Source organism: Homo sapiens, chromosome 3 (assembly GCF_000001405.40).
Source record: "Homo sapiens chromosome 3, GRCh38.p14 Primary Assembly".
Taxonomy (NCBI): Eukaryota; Metazoa; Chordata; class Mammalia; order Primates; family Hominidae; genus Homo; species Homo sapiens.
The window spans coordinates 111,469,659-111,486,384 of record NC_000003.12 but is presented as its reverse complement, the minus strand read 5'-3'; the positions used below and the strand labels follow the sequence as shown (position 1 = coordinate 111,486,384).

Sequence of the window (16,726 nt, the reverse complement as noted above, 5' to 3'; positions counted from 1 at the left end):
GTTCTGTGTTAGTTTTTTTTATTTTATTACAATTCATATTTGAGTGAAGTTAGGACTTCTTAGACTTGGAATTCACTTTGAAGCTTCCTATGGGCTGAGAATAAAGACTATGTTTTAAGCTTGTGGAAATTCTCCTTATGACCCAGAAGTGTGTGTGTGGGTGTGTGTGTGTGTGTTTGACTTTTTTTGCCTTTACTTTTCCTAACACACTGAATTAACCTGGCAGTGTGACTCACAATATGCAAAATCTTTTATTCCCTGCCTTGCTGACAAATATCTTTCAGCAAACATGGCCTCTCTGTTTTATTTCTTACCTATCCTTGATTTACCTGTTGCTTGAGATATTGTAGCAAAATGAGTCTAGAGAAGTGATTGCTACCAAGCAATATTATTCTCATTAATTCAAACCAGGGCTCATTAGTTAGGAGTCTGCTTATTTTGGAGATCTGTGCTCTGACAGGTTTGTCTGATATTTATAGACATAAGCATATGTTCTACATTTCTTTCATGAGTCTGCTGGACTTTACTGAGTAGCTCTTTCTCAGAAATTTTGGTAAGTTATAGTTGTTTCTTGGTTTTGTTGAAAATGGAGATAGTACTCTTATTGTTTATTTTCTTTGAGTTTTGTGTGATATCTAAGAATGGAAAGGAGAAACCACAATCTTTTACTGACATTTTGAAACTGGGAGTACTCTCCTTTCACAATATTTTGAAGATTCAAAGCAAAGACAAAATAAATCCAAAGCAAATGAAAACAAAATTTTCCTCGGTTTATTACAGAAAATCATATTAAGAGTTTTTTCCTTGTAAATCTTCACAATACTCTCTTTATTGCTGCATTTTTTATGGGCCTAATGTTGGCGTTTCTTCTGGTTGCTGACAGGGGACATTTTAATCAGCTAAATTTTAGAATTTGCATCAAGAAGGATTGGTGCTATGTTCTAGGTCTCCACCATCTACTTCTGGGGGTCTGAAAAATTATCTTTCTTAAACAAACTTTAAGTTTGGTCTCTGTCCTTGTTAGAATGCAGGTGTTTAGTGCAAGTTTTCTGGATCTTTTCTTGCTCTGTCAGATTCTATCACTAAACAAAAGGGTATGATGCAATTTATAATTTTTTAAACAGTGGAATTACATGAAATACTATCGCTTTCTACTTGTGCTTCTAACAGTCTTCTTGTCTCTGCCTAGGTTTGGAGGATTAAATATGATATATTTCAATGAGTCTCTTCTCATTCCTATGTACTTTCTTCTGTGCCACCTTCTGGAAATTACCATTTTGAAATGATGATAATAAAAACAGTATAATAGGAATAAATGTGGAGAGGGTAAAACCTTGGCTTTATTTGGTTCCTCTGAAGTTACAGAATGGGTACTTGTTTGTTTAGTCAGTACATCTTCACTGTTTCAGAGTTAGGCACTTACAGAGAAGGTGAATAAAAGCTTTTCCCCAACTTTACTGGGTCCGTCTGGCCTGTTCTGGTTCAGAGATTAGAGCATGTGTTGTGCAGCTCAAGAATGTACTTCTTGATTTTATCCACACGGCTGATGCAATTAGTTGAAATTCCACCCAGATTTGGCATATGGTCTTCTGTTATCTTGGATTTACAGTGATGTTGCCAGCTTAAAAAAAAGCTTTTATATTTTTATGAATATTTTAATAGGAAGTGGGAGAGCTGCCATAAGCATTTTAAGCCTGCCACCGTATTAACTTCCATATTCACACAATGAAGCCACTCCTTAAATGTCTTGAGAGCAGGGCCTCATATACATATATATGTGTGTATATATATATATGTGTATATATATGTGTGTGTATATATATGTGTGTGTGTGTGTGTGTGTGTGTGTGTGTGTGTATATATATATATATACACACATATATAAAATCTCCAGGGCTCTTTACTAAGTGCCCAATAAGCACATTTTCCTCTAGAACTGATAAAAGTTAAGCTGTTCTAGGTTTTTACTTTAATATACTAATTATGAACTTTATATTAACCTAGCTCTGGATACTATGAGTACATGAAAGTGATAAAACTAATGTGTAAAAAATATATACTTCAAACTTTTTGTTAACTTTACAAATATTACTCTATTTGAAGTTTCCTGTCTTTTTAAAGAAAAAAAACTAGGTGTAAATAAATGTGACTTTAAAAAGACTTAGAGGTTGTACTCTTGTTAACTATGAATAAGGTTTCCTTTAGTTCAATGTGCCAAATTGCTCGCGACACAGTGAAACATTCAGCTTTGTCACATTATTAAATAACCAATTAGTTACAAAAATTTCCACTATTGTCAAGAGACACACAGGGGTTAAAGGAGCCTGCATATCATCCAGTTTACTCCGGGAATCATTTACTTTACTTGTCAGTCTTCACTACTCTATTCATCAGTATCTTAGTATTTACTTTACTTATCAACAGCAGTATCTATCTATTGCCTAATGACAATTATTATTATAGGGTCTATTTTTTTCCTTTTATTTTTGTTGACACGTGATAATTGTACACATATATGGGATACAGGGGGACATTTTGATACATGTATACAATGTGTTATGATCAAACCAGGGTAATAGGCATATCCATCACCTCAAATATTTATCATTTCTTTGTGTTGTGAGCACTCAAAATCTGTTCTGCCACACTGTAGGATAAATATAATTTATTGTATAGGGTCTATTTTAGACCAGTACATTTTGCAACATCATCAAAGATCCCATGCCTGTGGAACTAGATTGTAAGTACTCCTTCACTTATATCATACCTATCTGAAGGTAAAGGTTATCTTTTTTTTTTTCTCCCGTTACAATGACCACTGGGCACAAAGTGTTCCATAAGGCTCAATCTAGAAGTATGCTTTAGTGGATGAATTAGGAAATTTACAGTTAGAAGACCTGAGTTTGAGTTTCAAGCTCTGCCATTTATGAGCTGTATGACTTTGGGCATGTTGTTCTCTCTCTCTCTCTCTTATTTCGGAAAGGTATGTGAATGAGTAAATTTATTTGAATAAGCTTGGTAAACTATAAATATGCTATAAAGCAGCAAGCTGCATTGACTGTGTGTAGTGTTTCTTCAGATAGATGGCATTCAATTATGACCAGAGCCAGATCAACTGGGCAATTGACTGGACCACTAAAATGTCACATAAAATGTTAAGAGATGAAGAAAATTTATTTGTCAGAACTCCTGGATAAAGAGAGACGGGAAGTGAGTCTGCATGTGTTTTCAAGCAGCATTTTCATAAGCCACTTCAGATGGAGGAATAGACCCTGAAAGGATATGCTCAACTATCAACAGATGGTACCTAAAATGCTGTCTAAGGAAGGTCAAGCAGGTTAACTTCAGCCTTCTGTTCTTCCGAGTGGAAGACAGAATCTGGAACTGACAATGGGACCTTCTTTTCCTTTCCTTCCTTCAACACACCTGAGATATCTCTATAAACAAATACTGAACTATGATTTAGAAAAATATCAGCTTAAAGGGGTTACTACATCAGTAGCCTCTCTGGGAAAAGCACAAGATGTGATCTGGTCATCATCACAATGATACTAAAATTTTGCAGTGACATGGGAATTGCAGTAAATAAGAGCTAAGTGTCGTCAGTGCTAAGTTCTTGACCATCTTCATCTCCTGGCATTACTCATTCTGACTTAAATCTCTGTGGTTCAGCTTCTAACTTACAGATCAAAATCTGTCAGATTTCTTGTAAACTTATAGCCCTTGAAATATCCAATGGTGGCTTCCTGCTTTATTTAGTATTAAAGAAGTTTCTCATCACCTCTCCATGCTAGGGCCAAGTGTCTATATTTGTGGATGTGCTCAGCCCGTAGGAATTAAATTAGCCACCTTCTGTCTTTCAGGGATTGGTTGCATGAAATGCTGATTATTTTGCCTTATAAGTCACCCCTGGTATGTGTAGGTAAGAAGTACAGACCACAGTTGATGTGGTTTGAATGTTTGTCTCCTCCAAATCTCATGTTGAAATGTGACTGCCAATGCTGAAGGCGAGGCCTAGTAGGAAGTATTGTATCTTGGGAGCAGATCCCTCACAAATGGCTTAGCACCATCCTCTTGGTGATCCGTGAGTTCTCGCTCTGTTAGTTCACACAAAATCTGGTTGTTTAAAAGAGTCTGAGACCTCCCCACCATCCCCTGTCTTGCCCCCCCCAACCCCTCCCTCTTATTCCATCTCTTACCATGTGACATGTCTACGCCTTCTTTGCTTCACCTTCTGCACCCTCTGCCATGAGTAAAAGCTCCCTGAGGCCTCACCAGAAGCCGAGCAAATGCTGTCACCATACTTCCTGTACAGCCTGCAGAACCGTGAGCCAGTTAAATCTCTTTTCTTTATAAACTACCCAGCCTCAGGTATTTCTTTATAGCAATGCAAGAACAGACTAACACAACAATAGATGCCACTGCTTGGGTCTAAAGATTGCTTTTTTAAAATACTAAAGTTCAAGAGATAATTTATAAAAGCTGACAATATTATGTGAGTTTCCCTGAAAATTGTTTTGACTCTCTGGACCTCAGAGCAAGCCCTTTTTAGAACAGAAACTATTTGTTTATACAGTCTGGCTTGGAGGATGATTTATTATATATTCCTCTGAGAAAACTGCAACTCAGGCAATTTAGGACTTTTAACTATTTTTAAAACCTCCAACAGCAATGGGATATGTTTCCAGACAAAAGCAATGTCACTTGATGAATAATCCACTTGTTATTTATCTTTCTGCTTTTGGGAGACAATGCTAAGTCAGCTAAGGACATCTCCAAAAGGGTGTTATTATTAATAGAAATTAAGTGGTGTACCACACAGAATATGTTTTCTTCAATTAAATTCTAAAATGAGATGGAAAATAGTTCAATAACCCTAGAGCTGATATCTGATTTAGGATATTTTTCTGCATATAATTTAATTTAATCTTGGCTTTGTATGAAATTTATAAAATTTCAATGAGATTAAACCATAGATGCTAGTATTAATTTGCTTAATGCAACCTAATCCTTTTGGTCTTGCTTATGGTCTGAGAAGCCTCTCAGGACCTTGACCTCTTTTTGCTCATGGCTTTAAGGCTTTGTGAGGATATAGGTGGTACATAGAAGGGTGAAGCCATAAACTGTTATATAAGCTATGTAAATGCGAATCCATCACTTTCTTGCTTAAAATCATCCTAAGCGTCATCCTAGTTTTCAAGGCAAAGTTAAAGTTGTTTAATATGCAACACATACCCATCATGATGAAACCCTGGATCACTTTTTAAATTTTATCACTGATCAATCCTTCCCAACTTCCCCTGAAAGATACACAAGATACACATACATATACAAACACGGGCACACACACTCCCCATTGCAGCTTCTCAAGAATATTTTGTTCTGTCATGCTTCCTCACTTTTGCCCTGCTATTTTCTATGTTCAAAATGTCTTTTTCTCCCTTATTTGCCTGACCAATTTATTTATCTTTAAAGACTCAGCTCTCTGCTTTAGTACCACTTCCCAACTTTTCCCCTTCTTTGTGTTTCCTTGTTACTGTATTCATATCTCTATCATTAACATTCATCATCCTGCGTATAATTATTGATTTCTTCATCTGTCTCCTCCAACTAAACTGTGAGCTCCTTATTAAGGTAGGATCATTACATTTTCTTGCTATATTCTGAGATCCAAAGTAGTATCTGGGCTGCAGGAGGCATCCAAAATCTGTTTTTGATGGGTGAATGAATGAATGCATCAACTAATGATACAATTGATCAATGAAGAGTGACTAAGTAAGACTAGTAGCTAGTCTCTGGCCATCTTCTGCTCTATATAAGGGATCAGAGTAGGAAAGAGACTGAAATTAGAGCTCATAGCAATTTTAGGGAGGGAATTTTAAGTTCAGAACACCATAGCTTTTCTTTCAATAGCTCTGCAGTAGTTCCTGATTTTCCAAAGAGGACACTTTTTAATACAGAGGAGCTTCAGTCTTTTACCTGACGCAGGACTTATCACTCTGTGCAGTTAGAGGTCAGTTCAGAGTTGGTAATGGAAGAGGGTGAAGTTTAGGGACTAATATAGACAGCTAACCACAGATAATTATGTCAGAGGCATTTGAACCAGAGCAACTCCATCTTGAATAGGGGCTGGGTGAAATAAGACTGAGACCTGCTTGGCTGCATTCTCAGGAGTTTAAGGCATTCTAAGTCACAGGATAAGATAGGAGGTCAGCACAAGATACAGGTCATAAAGACCTTGCTGATAAAACAGGTTGCAAGTAAAGAAGCTGGCCAAAACCCACCAAAACCAAGATGGCAACAAGAGTGACTTCTGGTCATCCTTACTGCTACACGCCCACCAGCGCCACGACAGTTTACAAATGCCATGGCAATGTCAGGAAGTTACCCTATATGGGTCTAAAAAGGGGAAGCATGAATAATCCATCTTTTGTTTAGCATATAATCAATAAATAACCATGAAAATGGGCAGCCAGCAGCTCTTGGGGCTCCTCTGCTTATGGAGTAGCCATTCTTTTACTCCTTTACAGTCTTAATAAACCTGCTTTCACTTTACTCCATGGACTCGCCTAGAATTCTTTCTTGAGCGAGATCCAAGAATCCTCTCTTGGGGTCTAGATTGGGACCCCTTTCCGGTAACAATTAGACTGATCAAAAAAGCCAGTAGACAGATTACCATTAATGTGGAGCAGTAACGTGTCATGGTTACCATTTCCAGACAGTTGTTGAGAGAACACACATCTAGGACAGCAATTAAATTGGACACTGATTCTCTTTGGAGTGCTGGGGAAATGTGTGGTTTTATAAAGGTATATTTTGTACACACAGCCATAAGCACATATACACATTTATGTACACACAACTGAGAAAGAACAATTAAATTGCAGTTACTCCTAGGGAAGATAAAAGAGATTCTCTAATTTTTTGTTTTTGTTTTTTCTCACATCCAAGAAGTTTACTGCCCACAGCTCTGCGCAGAGGCAAGGGCTGGTGAGAGCGGATCCACCCAGGAAGTCTCTGTAACGGGAAGCCGTAAGGGACACTCTAGCTAACATTCTAGATACCTGGGAGATGAGGGCGACTCCCCAGATGCGGGAACAGGCCAGATCTTTATAAATAAACATCCAGTGAAGAGAAATGACAACTCTAATTCATTCGCATATACAGAGCACTCTAGGAGGATGAGGCAGCCGGGGACCTGGCGGGGTGATGAGTGGGCCCAGATGTCCGCGGCACCGGGAGACTGAGAGCAAGGCTGGGGCAGCAGAAGATGGGTACTTGGGGTATGGTGAATGTACAAGACCAGCTACTTGGGGCGGCTGCCCGGGGTGTGTGTGTGTGTGTGTGTGTGTGTGTGTGTGTGTGTGTGAGGCTGTTCGTTCTGGAATGAGGAGGGGTGGTCTTTACATCATATTCTGTGGCTGGTGGGCTCAGAGAGGGGCTACTTTGTGGAGAGGATTAGGGCCATGATGAGACCATAGAGGCCGAGCACCTCGGCAAAGACGAGTATCAGAATCATGCCCACAAATAGTCGGGGCTGCTAGGCGATGCCCCGCACACTGGCACCCCCTACGAAGATGATGGCACAGCCGGCTGCCAGGCTGCTCAGGCCCACACTCAGGCCGGTACCCCGCTGGAGGTCCTATGAAAATAAAATTTAAATCAGTGCACTTACTCTTACCTTAAAATCTCCACATTAAATGAAGCATTAGAAACAGATTTGTTGGTCAAAATCATGACCTGCCTTATAATTAGGCAGAGTGTCTGTATTTTGGGCAAGAGAAGGATCCCATTGATCCAACCACTTGCCAGAGGGCTTGACATTTGCATCATTAATTTGTTTAAGATGTCATGCTTTTGGAATTTTCCCGTTGAAATATTAGTTTCCCTAGAAAGAATATATCCCCACATTTACTTATAATGAACTCTAGACTCTTAAATGAATCAATTAGTTTAACATTGCCTAACAGAGAGCCAAAGGAAATGGGACAATGGAAGGTTTCTTTTTTATTTATAGGTAAGAAAAGTCCAGCACCTGGGATATTGCCCTAAGAGAGTGAGCATCATCAGGAAGGTCCATCACAGGAGACTGCACAGCCATGGACAGCAGGAGGGAGGTTGTCACCTGGGAAACTGGGGTGAAGGCAAATTAGAGCAGGGAACTGACAAAGGAAGATGAGGAGATGCTGAAATCAAATACATCCACAATTTTGTTAGTATTACAAACTAATTAATAGAAAAGGCAGCTTCTCAAAGTACCTAACAGAAAGGGAAATAAAAATAAAAAATATATTTAGTCTATGTTATACACTGTAAAGACAACTTGGGTCCAGGTTTTAGACCAAACTTAAGATTTTCAGAGTACTAGTCATAGCTAACATCCACAACTACAGTGACTGCATCTATTCTAGGTATCACATTTAGGCTTCATCAATGAGATATCTAGGAAATATACTCTTCTTGGCATGTCTCAAAGACACTAAAATCCAGATATCTAAGGACATGTGTCTTAATTGCTTCTCTAGAAGTGGTGATAATTATGCATCCTACATTCTAGTGACTTAATCCTTATTGCCACCAACTGAATTCCTTTTAGAGAATTTATCAGAAGTCATGTGTATTAGTAGATTTACTATATAACTCTGTCTTATCTTTACATTAACTTGTACCAAGCCAAAGCAACCCAACCCATGGCACTGTCTCTACAACTACAAAGTTAATAAGTAGGAGACAGCTCCAGTCTTGAATTCTTTAGAAGAGGTACAGTTAATTACACTGAAATAGAATTTGTTATTGAGTGACACATGGAGGGTGAGTAAAAAGAAGAAAAAAAGATGGCCAATGGCTAGCCTCTTGATGATTGAAGATAGGCTTAATTTGGTTTGTAACTCATCTATTTATGAGGTATGTGATCTTGATTTTAAATAAACACATTTGGTTTCCTTACCTAAAATATAAGCCCAGCTAGAATATTGCCCAATCATGGAATTACTAGGGTTTATTTCCCACCCACTGGTGGGGTTTAGGAAAGAATTTCCTGGGAGAAGAGGCATGAAAAGCATAAAGAATTAGATCGCTGATTTCAAATCTTTGGAGTGTTTGGCTGTGAGCCATGAGCATTTTTAAAAGTTCAAAGAGCAGAGGCAGGTCAGAAAAGGGGAGTGAAGAGTTAAGGGTCAGAGACCAAGTCAGGCCTTAGCTTAACAGGAAGGAACAGGGCTAGGATCCCATGGAAGTGGGTGACAGCTGGGGACAAATTAGAAGGGGTTATGACTTGCTACAGATCAGCTCAGACAATAAAAATGCATTAACTCACAAGGTAACTGTGAGCACAGACTATTAAAAGTCATGTAAGTTGAGGCATTTAAAAAACTGTACAGCCCTAACAGATATTACTATTTTTATCTTATGCAGTAAAGATGAAACAACTGCCAAAAAAAGTTTGTCAAGATAACCGCATCAGGGGATAACAAACAGCTGTCCTCCTTTTATCCTATGGAACATGCACTTGGCATTCACAGAAAACGTGCCTTTGCTTCTCCTCATGTGTCTGACACTCTATTAGACTCAGGGCATTCACCTTCTGCTTTGATCTCTGGGTGCTTTTAGTGAATCCTCTAATTCTCAACCATAAAGGCTAATGCGATAGCAGACTTCAGGCATTTTTCATCAAGAAATCTCTCAACTCCTGTTACCTAAAGTTAAAAAATGCATTTCTGAAGGGCACAGTTATTTTTTTCCTGTTCTCCTATTTGTTGAGTGCTTTGTCCTGGTGGGCTGATGTGCTTACATTCCATTACCATAAATTCAATTGTTGGAGAATTTGCTCTCAATATTTTGCCCTCTGGAGACAAAGATACATTTAGAATGAATTGTCTTTAGCAAGTTGCTTGCTTTTGTTTTGTTGATGAGTTCTCTGAACTTTTTACTGCCTGTTTGAAGCTATTATTCCTTTTAAACAGCTTTTTATTTTCTCAAACATTACTGGTCACTTTACTGTCCAGTGAATACTTTTTCTAACTACAGGTAGACATTTAACTGCTAGCTATAGAGGAACCAGTGTGCTAGAGATCCTTCCTTTATGTGTTAATTCAAAAGATCAATTTGTCATCATTTTTCTTATGGAACTATCTCTCTCCTCATTGGTCCTATTGCTTTTCCCTCATTTTTCAGTGATGTGCATATTCTTGGGCAGGCAGGTTATGCTGCCCTTTTTTTTATAATATTATTCTAACATTCAGTCTGCTCCATTAATATGCCTCAGTTCAGAAACACAAAGTGGAATGCTCATCTCAACCTCGCTATCAAGAGCAGTTGTTGTTCTACACACTGCAATATTGGGGGGTCCTGGGGCCACAAACCATATGCATCTTCTCTGCATATAGAATATTAAACTCACAATTTGATACAGCCACAACCTAGTGTGAGGAAGACAGCCTTGGATTAGAAGTAAGGAAACCTGGGTCCTAATTTCTGTTCTGCATCAAAAAGTTTAGAAATTTTGATTAAATGATCTCTAAGGTTCCTGATAAGTTTAGAACTCCATATTTTTAAAATTTCCTTTCTTCCTCTACATATACAGCCTTTCAGCAGTGGGAAAGGAGCAGAGTGCTTGGGAAAGTCTCAACAATATAGATATTTGAGCTGAAGCTTGAAAGATGAGTGTAACATTCCCAGATAAATAAAGGAAGAAAGGGGATCTAAGTAGAGAAAATAGTGTGTGCAATGTCACAAAAGAGCAAAATAGCATGAAGTATTTTGAGAACTTTGGTCAAATAGCTAGTTTTGGACTCAAGGGAATCTCAAACCCAGAACAACTTCTGAGCTAGTGAACTTTGTACTGTCACATCATATCACTACCTGAATAGACAGAATTTAATAGCTGACAAATTGACATTGAATCACAACTATATGACGGATTGCAAAGGCTGGTGGGGTCAGTGGGTTTTCCCAGCTCTCAGAAAGAGGGAGCTTCACAACAGAGGCTCTAGGTCCAAGACCAGCAGATTTTATTTCCAGGATGTTCTGAAGCTTCAGTCTGGTCTGAAGACCAGACCAGTGAAAGGTTTCTGGAGCTTGAGTAAGAAATAGATTTGAAGGAGATTAGTCCTTCGTATGATTGTCCATGGTGCAGCCAGAATGAAGAGCCAAACACAGTATAGTTGCTAGACAAAGAGGCAAAAACTAGATATGAAGTTCTGGGAAAGCAGGCTCAGGATGGAAGTTTGGAAGTACAGCCTGGGGATAATAGCAATAATATCTTCTACACAGAAATTTTGTGGTGATTAAATTATATAAGGCAGTTAAAATTTAACGTAGTTTCTGACATATAACAGGCACTCAATAGTAGCTTTTGTTGTTTAAGGCACTGAAATGTAACCACTAAAGGCCTTACTCAAGGCCTTACCAGCTTCAAGTATAAAGGAGCCAGACCAAAAAAGAGGGTCACATGTTCCCCAAGCCCAGAAATTGTTTTATTTTCCCCCTCTCTCCATGGGGTTCCATGTGATCTCCCAGAGAGCACTCCCTAGTGCTTTTGCACTCTTATTATGGGACCCAGGCCTTATTTCACTCCTCCAGTGTTTGGGGTTACAGTACATTGAGTTTGACATGGTGCCAACATGACACCATGACTTTGAACTAGAAGTTCTCCCCACCTCCAACTCAGAGGCCCAAGGGGCAGCTTTGGTGAACTGTAGTCAGAGAGCACTAGGGTGTGAGTTGGAAGATCTGGGTTTTCTTTGAAGCTCTACCATTAGCAAGCTGGATGTCCTGTGCAAGTACTCAACTTGTCTCTACTGAATTTCTTACCTGGGAAAAGAGATGACTGAACTGGATGACACCCAAGGACTTCTCCAACTCCAGCACTATGAAACAATGACAGCACCTAAAGAACTCTTTATCAAAGTTGCCAAAAAGGCTTGACACATCATCTTGAGCATTAAATTAGCATCAGCTATATAATGCCAGATACTAAACTTTTGCTAGAAGGAAAGTGACAAAGAGAGAAATAATGCCCACAATGCTCCAAAGTCATTCTTTTAGTCAACAAGATGTTCTACTCAATATCTCTGTGTTTGGATTGAAAAAGACATCAAAAGAAATTAGGAAGGAGGGACCAAGATGGCCAGCTAAAAACAGCTGCAAATGGAGGCTCCCACTGAGAAGAACAAAAACAGTCAGTGAATCCTGCACCAGCAACTGAGGTGCCCAGGTTCTCTTACTGGGACTGACCAGGTGGTTGGTGCGACCCACAGAGAGTGAGGAAAAGCAAGCTGGTGTGATGGCCCACCTGGGAGCCACACAGGGCAAGGGGAACTCCCACCCCCAGCCAAGGGAGGCTGTGAGTGATCATGCTACCCTGCCGGGGAAACCACACTTTTTTTCATGGATTTGTGCAGCCTGCACATCAGGAGATTCCCCCTTATGAGCCCATGCCACCAGGGCCTTGGGTCTCAAGCACAGAGCTGTGCAGATTATCTGCAGCCACTTGGCCACAGACTGCCTAAGACTACTGAGTTCCTGAGGGGAGGAGAAGGGCAGCCATCATCTGTGTGGTTGCCTGCTGCTTAAGATGACTGAGATCCCTGGGGGGAGGGGCGGCTGCCATCACTGCAGCTCCAGTCTGCTATTTTTTCCCCTGCTGGTGCTAGGGAGATTAGATGGTTTGGACCTAGGGGGAATTACCCATGGTGCAGCACAGTGGCCATGGCCGATTATGGCCAGACTGCCTATTTAGGCTGGACCCTGACCCATCTGTCCTCACCAGACAGGGCCTCCCTTCAGGAATTTCAGCAACTCCAGCCAGGGGTTTAGGCACAGAACTCTGATCTCCCTGGGGATGAGCCCCTACAGGGAGGTGCGGCTGCAGTTTCCACAAATCAGCACACTTTGTCATTCCCCTGCTGGCTCCGAAGAATCCAGGCAATCTGGATGAGTGGGATTTCCCCCAGCACAGCACACCCCTTCTGACAAGGGGCAGCCAGAGTGTTTTGTTAAGCAGTTCTGGATCTTGTGCCTCTTGACTGGGTGAGAACCCCCAACAGGGGTCACTGGACACCTTATACAGGAGCATTCCCACTGGCATCAAGTTGGTGCACCTCTGGTATAGAGATCCCAGAGGAAGGAGCAGGCAGCCATTTTTGCTATTCTGCATCCTCCACTGGTGACACCTCCAGGTACAGGAGGGACCCTAGTGAATAGGGTCTGGATGGACCCCCAGCAAACCACCTCAGCCCTATGGAAGAGGGACCTGACTGTTAAAAGAAAAACAAACAGAAAGCAAAACAACAACATTAACAAAAAATCCCCCACAAAAACCCAATCCAAAGAACAGCAGCCTCAAAGATTGAAGCCATATAAACCCATGAAGATGAGAGAGAATCAATAAAAAAATGCTGAAAACTCAAATAGAGTGCTTCTTGTTCTCCAAATGATCGCAACACCTCCAGCAAGAGCAAAGGATTGGGCAGAGGCTGATATAGATTAACTGACAGAAGTAGGCTTCAGAAGGAGGGTAGTAACGAACTTCACTGAGCTACAGGAGCATATTCTAACCCAATGCAAAGAAGCTAAGAACCATGATAAAGCATTATAGGAGCTGTTAACCAGAAAAACCAGTTTAGAGAGGAATCTAAATTACCCAATGGAGCTGAAAAACACAACATGAAACTTCACAATGCAACCACGAATATCAATAGCTGAACTGATGAAGTGAAGGAAAGAATTTCATAGCTTGATGACTCTCTTCCTGAAATAAGGCAAACGAGATTAGAGAAAAAACAATGAAAGAGAATGAACAAAACCTCCTAGAACTATGAGATTATGTAAAAAGACCAAACCTATGACTGATTGGGATACCTGAAAGAGACAGGGAGAACAGAACCAAGATGGAAAACACACTTTAGGATGTCATCCAGGAGAACACCCCAACCTAACAAGACAGGCCAACAATCAAATTCAGAAAATCCACAGAACCCCAGTGAGATACTCCATGAGAAGATTAATTCCAAGACATATAATCATCAGATTCTCCAAGGTCAAAATGAAGGAAAAAATGTTAAAGGCAGCCAGAGACAAAGGCCAGGTCACCTATAAAGGGAAGCCCATTAGACTAACAGTGGACCTTCTCAGCCGAAACCCTAAAAGCCAGAAGAGACCGGGGTTCAATATTGAACATTCTTAAAGAAAAAAATTTCAACCCAAAATTTCATATCCAGCCAAACTTCACTTCATTTCATAAGTGAAGAAATAAAATAAAATCCTTTAAGGCAGAAATAGATTCCTTTTCACATAAGCAAAATGCCTAGGGAATTTATCACCACCAGGCCTGCCTTGCAACAGCTCCTGAATGAAGTGCTAAATATGGAAAGGAAAAACTTAACAGCCACTGCAAAAACACACTGAAGTGCAAAGACCAATGACACTACGAAGCAACTACATCAACAAGTCTGCAAAATAACCAGCTGACATGATGACAGGATCAAATTCACACATAAAAATGTTAACCTTAAATGTAAATGGGCTAAATGCACCAATTAAAAGACACAGAATGGCAAGCTGAATAGAGTCAAGACCCACTGGTGTGCTGTATTTAACAGACCTATCTCACCAGCAAAGACACACACAGGCTCAAAATAAAGGGATGGAGGAAAATTTACCAAGCAAATGGCAAGCAAAAACAAAACAGGGGTTGCAATCCTAGTCTCTGATAAAACAGATTTTAAACCAACAAAGATCAAAAAGACAAAGAAGGGCATTACATAATGGTAAAGATCAATTCAACCAGAAGAGCTAACTATTCTAAATATATATATGCCCAATACAGGAGCACCCAGGTTCATAAAACAAATTCTTACAGAACTACAAAGAGACTTAGACTTCCACACAATAATAGTGGAAGACTTTAACACTCTACTCTCAATAATAGGTCATTGAGAGAGATAATTAACAAGAATATTCAGGATTTGAACTCAGCTCTGGATCAAGTGGACCTGATAGATACCTACAGAACTCTCTACGCCAAAACAACAGAATATACATTCTCCTCGGCACCACGTGGCACTTACTGTAAAACCAGTCACATAATTGGAAGTAAAATACTCCTCAGCAAATGCAAAAGAACTGAAATCATGACAATCTTTCAGACCACAGCACAATCAAATTAGAACTCAAGATTAGGAAACTCACTCAAAACCACACAGCTATGTGGAAATTGAATAACCTGCTTCTGAATGACTCCTGGGTAAATAATGTAATTAAGGAAGAAATCAAGAAGTTCCTTGAAACCAATGAGAACAAAGAGACAATGTACAAGAATCTCTGGGATGCAGCTAAATTAGTATTAAGAGGGAAATTTATAGCACTAAATGCCCACGTTAAAAAGCTAGAAGGATCTCCGATTGACACCCTAACATCACAACTAAAAGAACTAGAGAACTAAGAGCAAACAAATCCCAAAGCTAGTAAGAATACAAGAAATAACCAAGATCAGAGTGGAACTGAAGGGGATAGAGACACAAGTGACCCTTCAAAAAAATCAATAAATCCAGAAGTTTTTTTGAAAAAATTAATAAAATAGATAGACTTCTAGCTAGACTAATAAAGAAGAAGAGAGAGAAGAATCAAATAGATGCAATAAAAAATGATAACGGGGATATCACCACTGACCCCACAGAAACACAACCATTGGAGAATAGTATAAACACCTCTATGGAAATAAACTAGAAAATCTAGAAGAAATAGATAAATTCCTGGGTACATACACCCTCCCAAGACTGAACCACAAAGCAGCTGCATTCCTGAATAGACCAATAACAAGTTCTGAAATTGAAGCAGTAATAAATTGCCTACCAACCAAAAAAAAGCCCAGGACCAGACAGATTTACAGCTGAATTCTACCAGAGGTACAAAGAGAAACTGGTACCATTTCTTTTGAAATTATTCCAAACGATTGAAAAAAAGGAATTCTAACTCATTCCATGAGGCCAAGATTATCTTGATACCAAAACCTGGCAGAGATACTACAAAAAAAGAAAGCTTCAGGCCAATATCCCTGATAAACATCGATGCAAAAATCCTCAATAAAATACTGGCAAACTGAGTCTAGAAGCACATCAAAAAGCCTATCCACAACAACGAAGTTGGCTTCATCCCCAGAATGCAAGGCTGGTTCTACAAACACAAATCAATAAATATAATTCATCACATTAACAGAACTAAAGACAAAAACCACAAGATTATCTCATTAGATGCAGAAAAGATCTTCAATAAAATTCAACATTCCTTCATGTTAAAACTCAATAAACTAGGGATTGATGGAACATGTCTCAAAATATTAGAGCCATTTATGACAAATCCACAGCCAATATCATACTTAATGGGCAAAAGTTGGAAGCATTCCCCTTGAAAACTGGCACAAAACAAGGATGCCCTCTCTTACCACTCCTATTTAATATAGTATTGGAAGTTCTGGCCAGGGCAATCAGGCAAGAGAAAGAAATAAAAGGTATTCATGTAGGAAGAGAGGAAGTCAAACTGTCTCTGTTTGCAGATGACATGATCCTATATCTAGAAAACTCCATTATTTCAGCCCAAAAGCTTCGTAAGCTGATAAGCAACTTCAGCAAAGTCTCTGGATATAAAATCAATGTGCAGAAATCACAAGCATTCTTTTACACCAACAATAACCAAGCAGAAAGTCAAATCATGAATGTACTCCCATTCA

The 16,726-nt window shown here is 39.5% G+C and overlaps 1 long non-coding RNA gene and 1 pseudogene across 2 annotated transcripts in view; both read right to left on the bottom strand.

The window, feature by feature from the left end:
- Positions 1-16,726, bottom strand: part of LOC105374039 (uncharacterized) — a 177,487-nt gene that overhangs the window by 55,619 nt on the left and 105,142 nt on the right. The window contains exons 3-4 of one of the 2 annotated variants that reach the window (XR_007096275.1): positions 8,036-8,133; positions 5,230-7,642 (exon numbers count right to left, since the gene is read on the bottom strand). The exons of the other annotated variant lie outside the window; for it this stretch is intronic. This is a non-coding gene — a long non-coding RNA (uncharacterized LOC105374039). Of the gene's footprint in view, positions 1-5,229; positions 7,643-8,035; positions 8,134-16,726 lie in introns of those variants that run through there. 2 annotated transcript variants of the gene reach the window in all.
- On the bottom strand, positions 7,258-7,640 carry ATP6V0CP2 (ATPase H+ transporting V0 subunit c pseudogene 2; annotated as a pseudogene).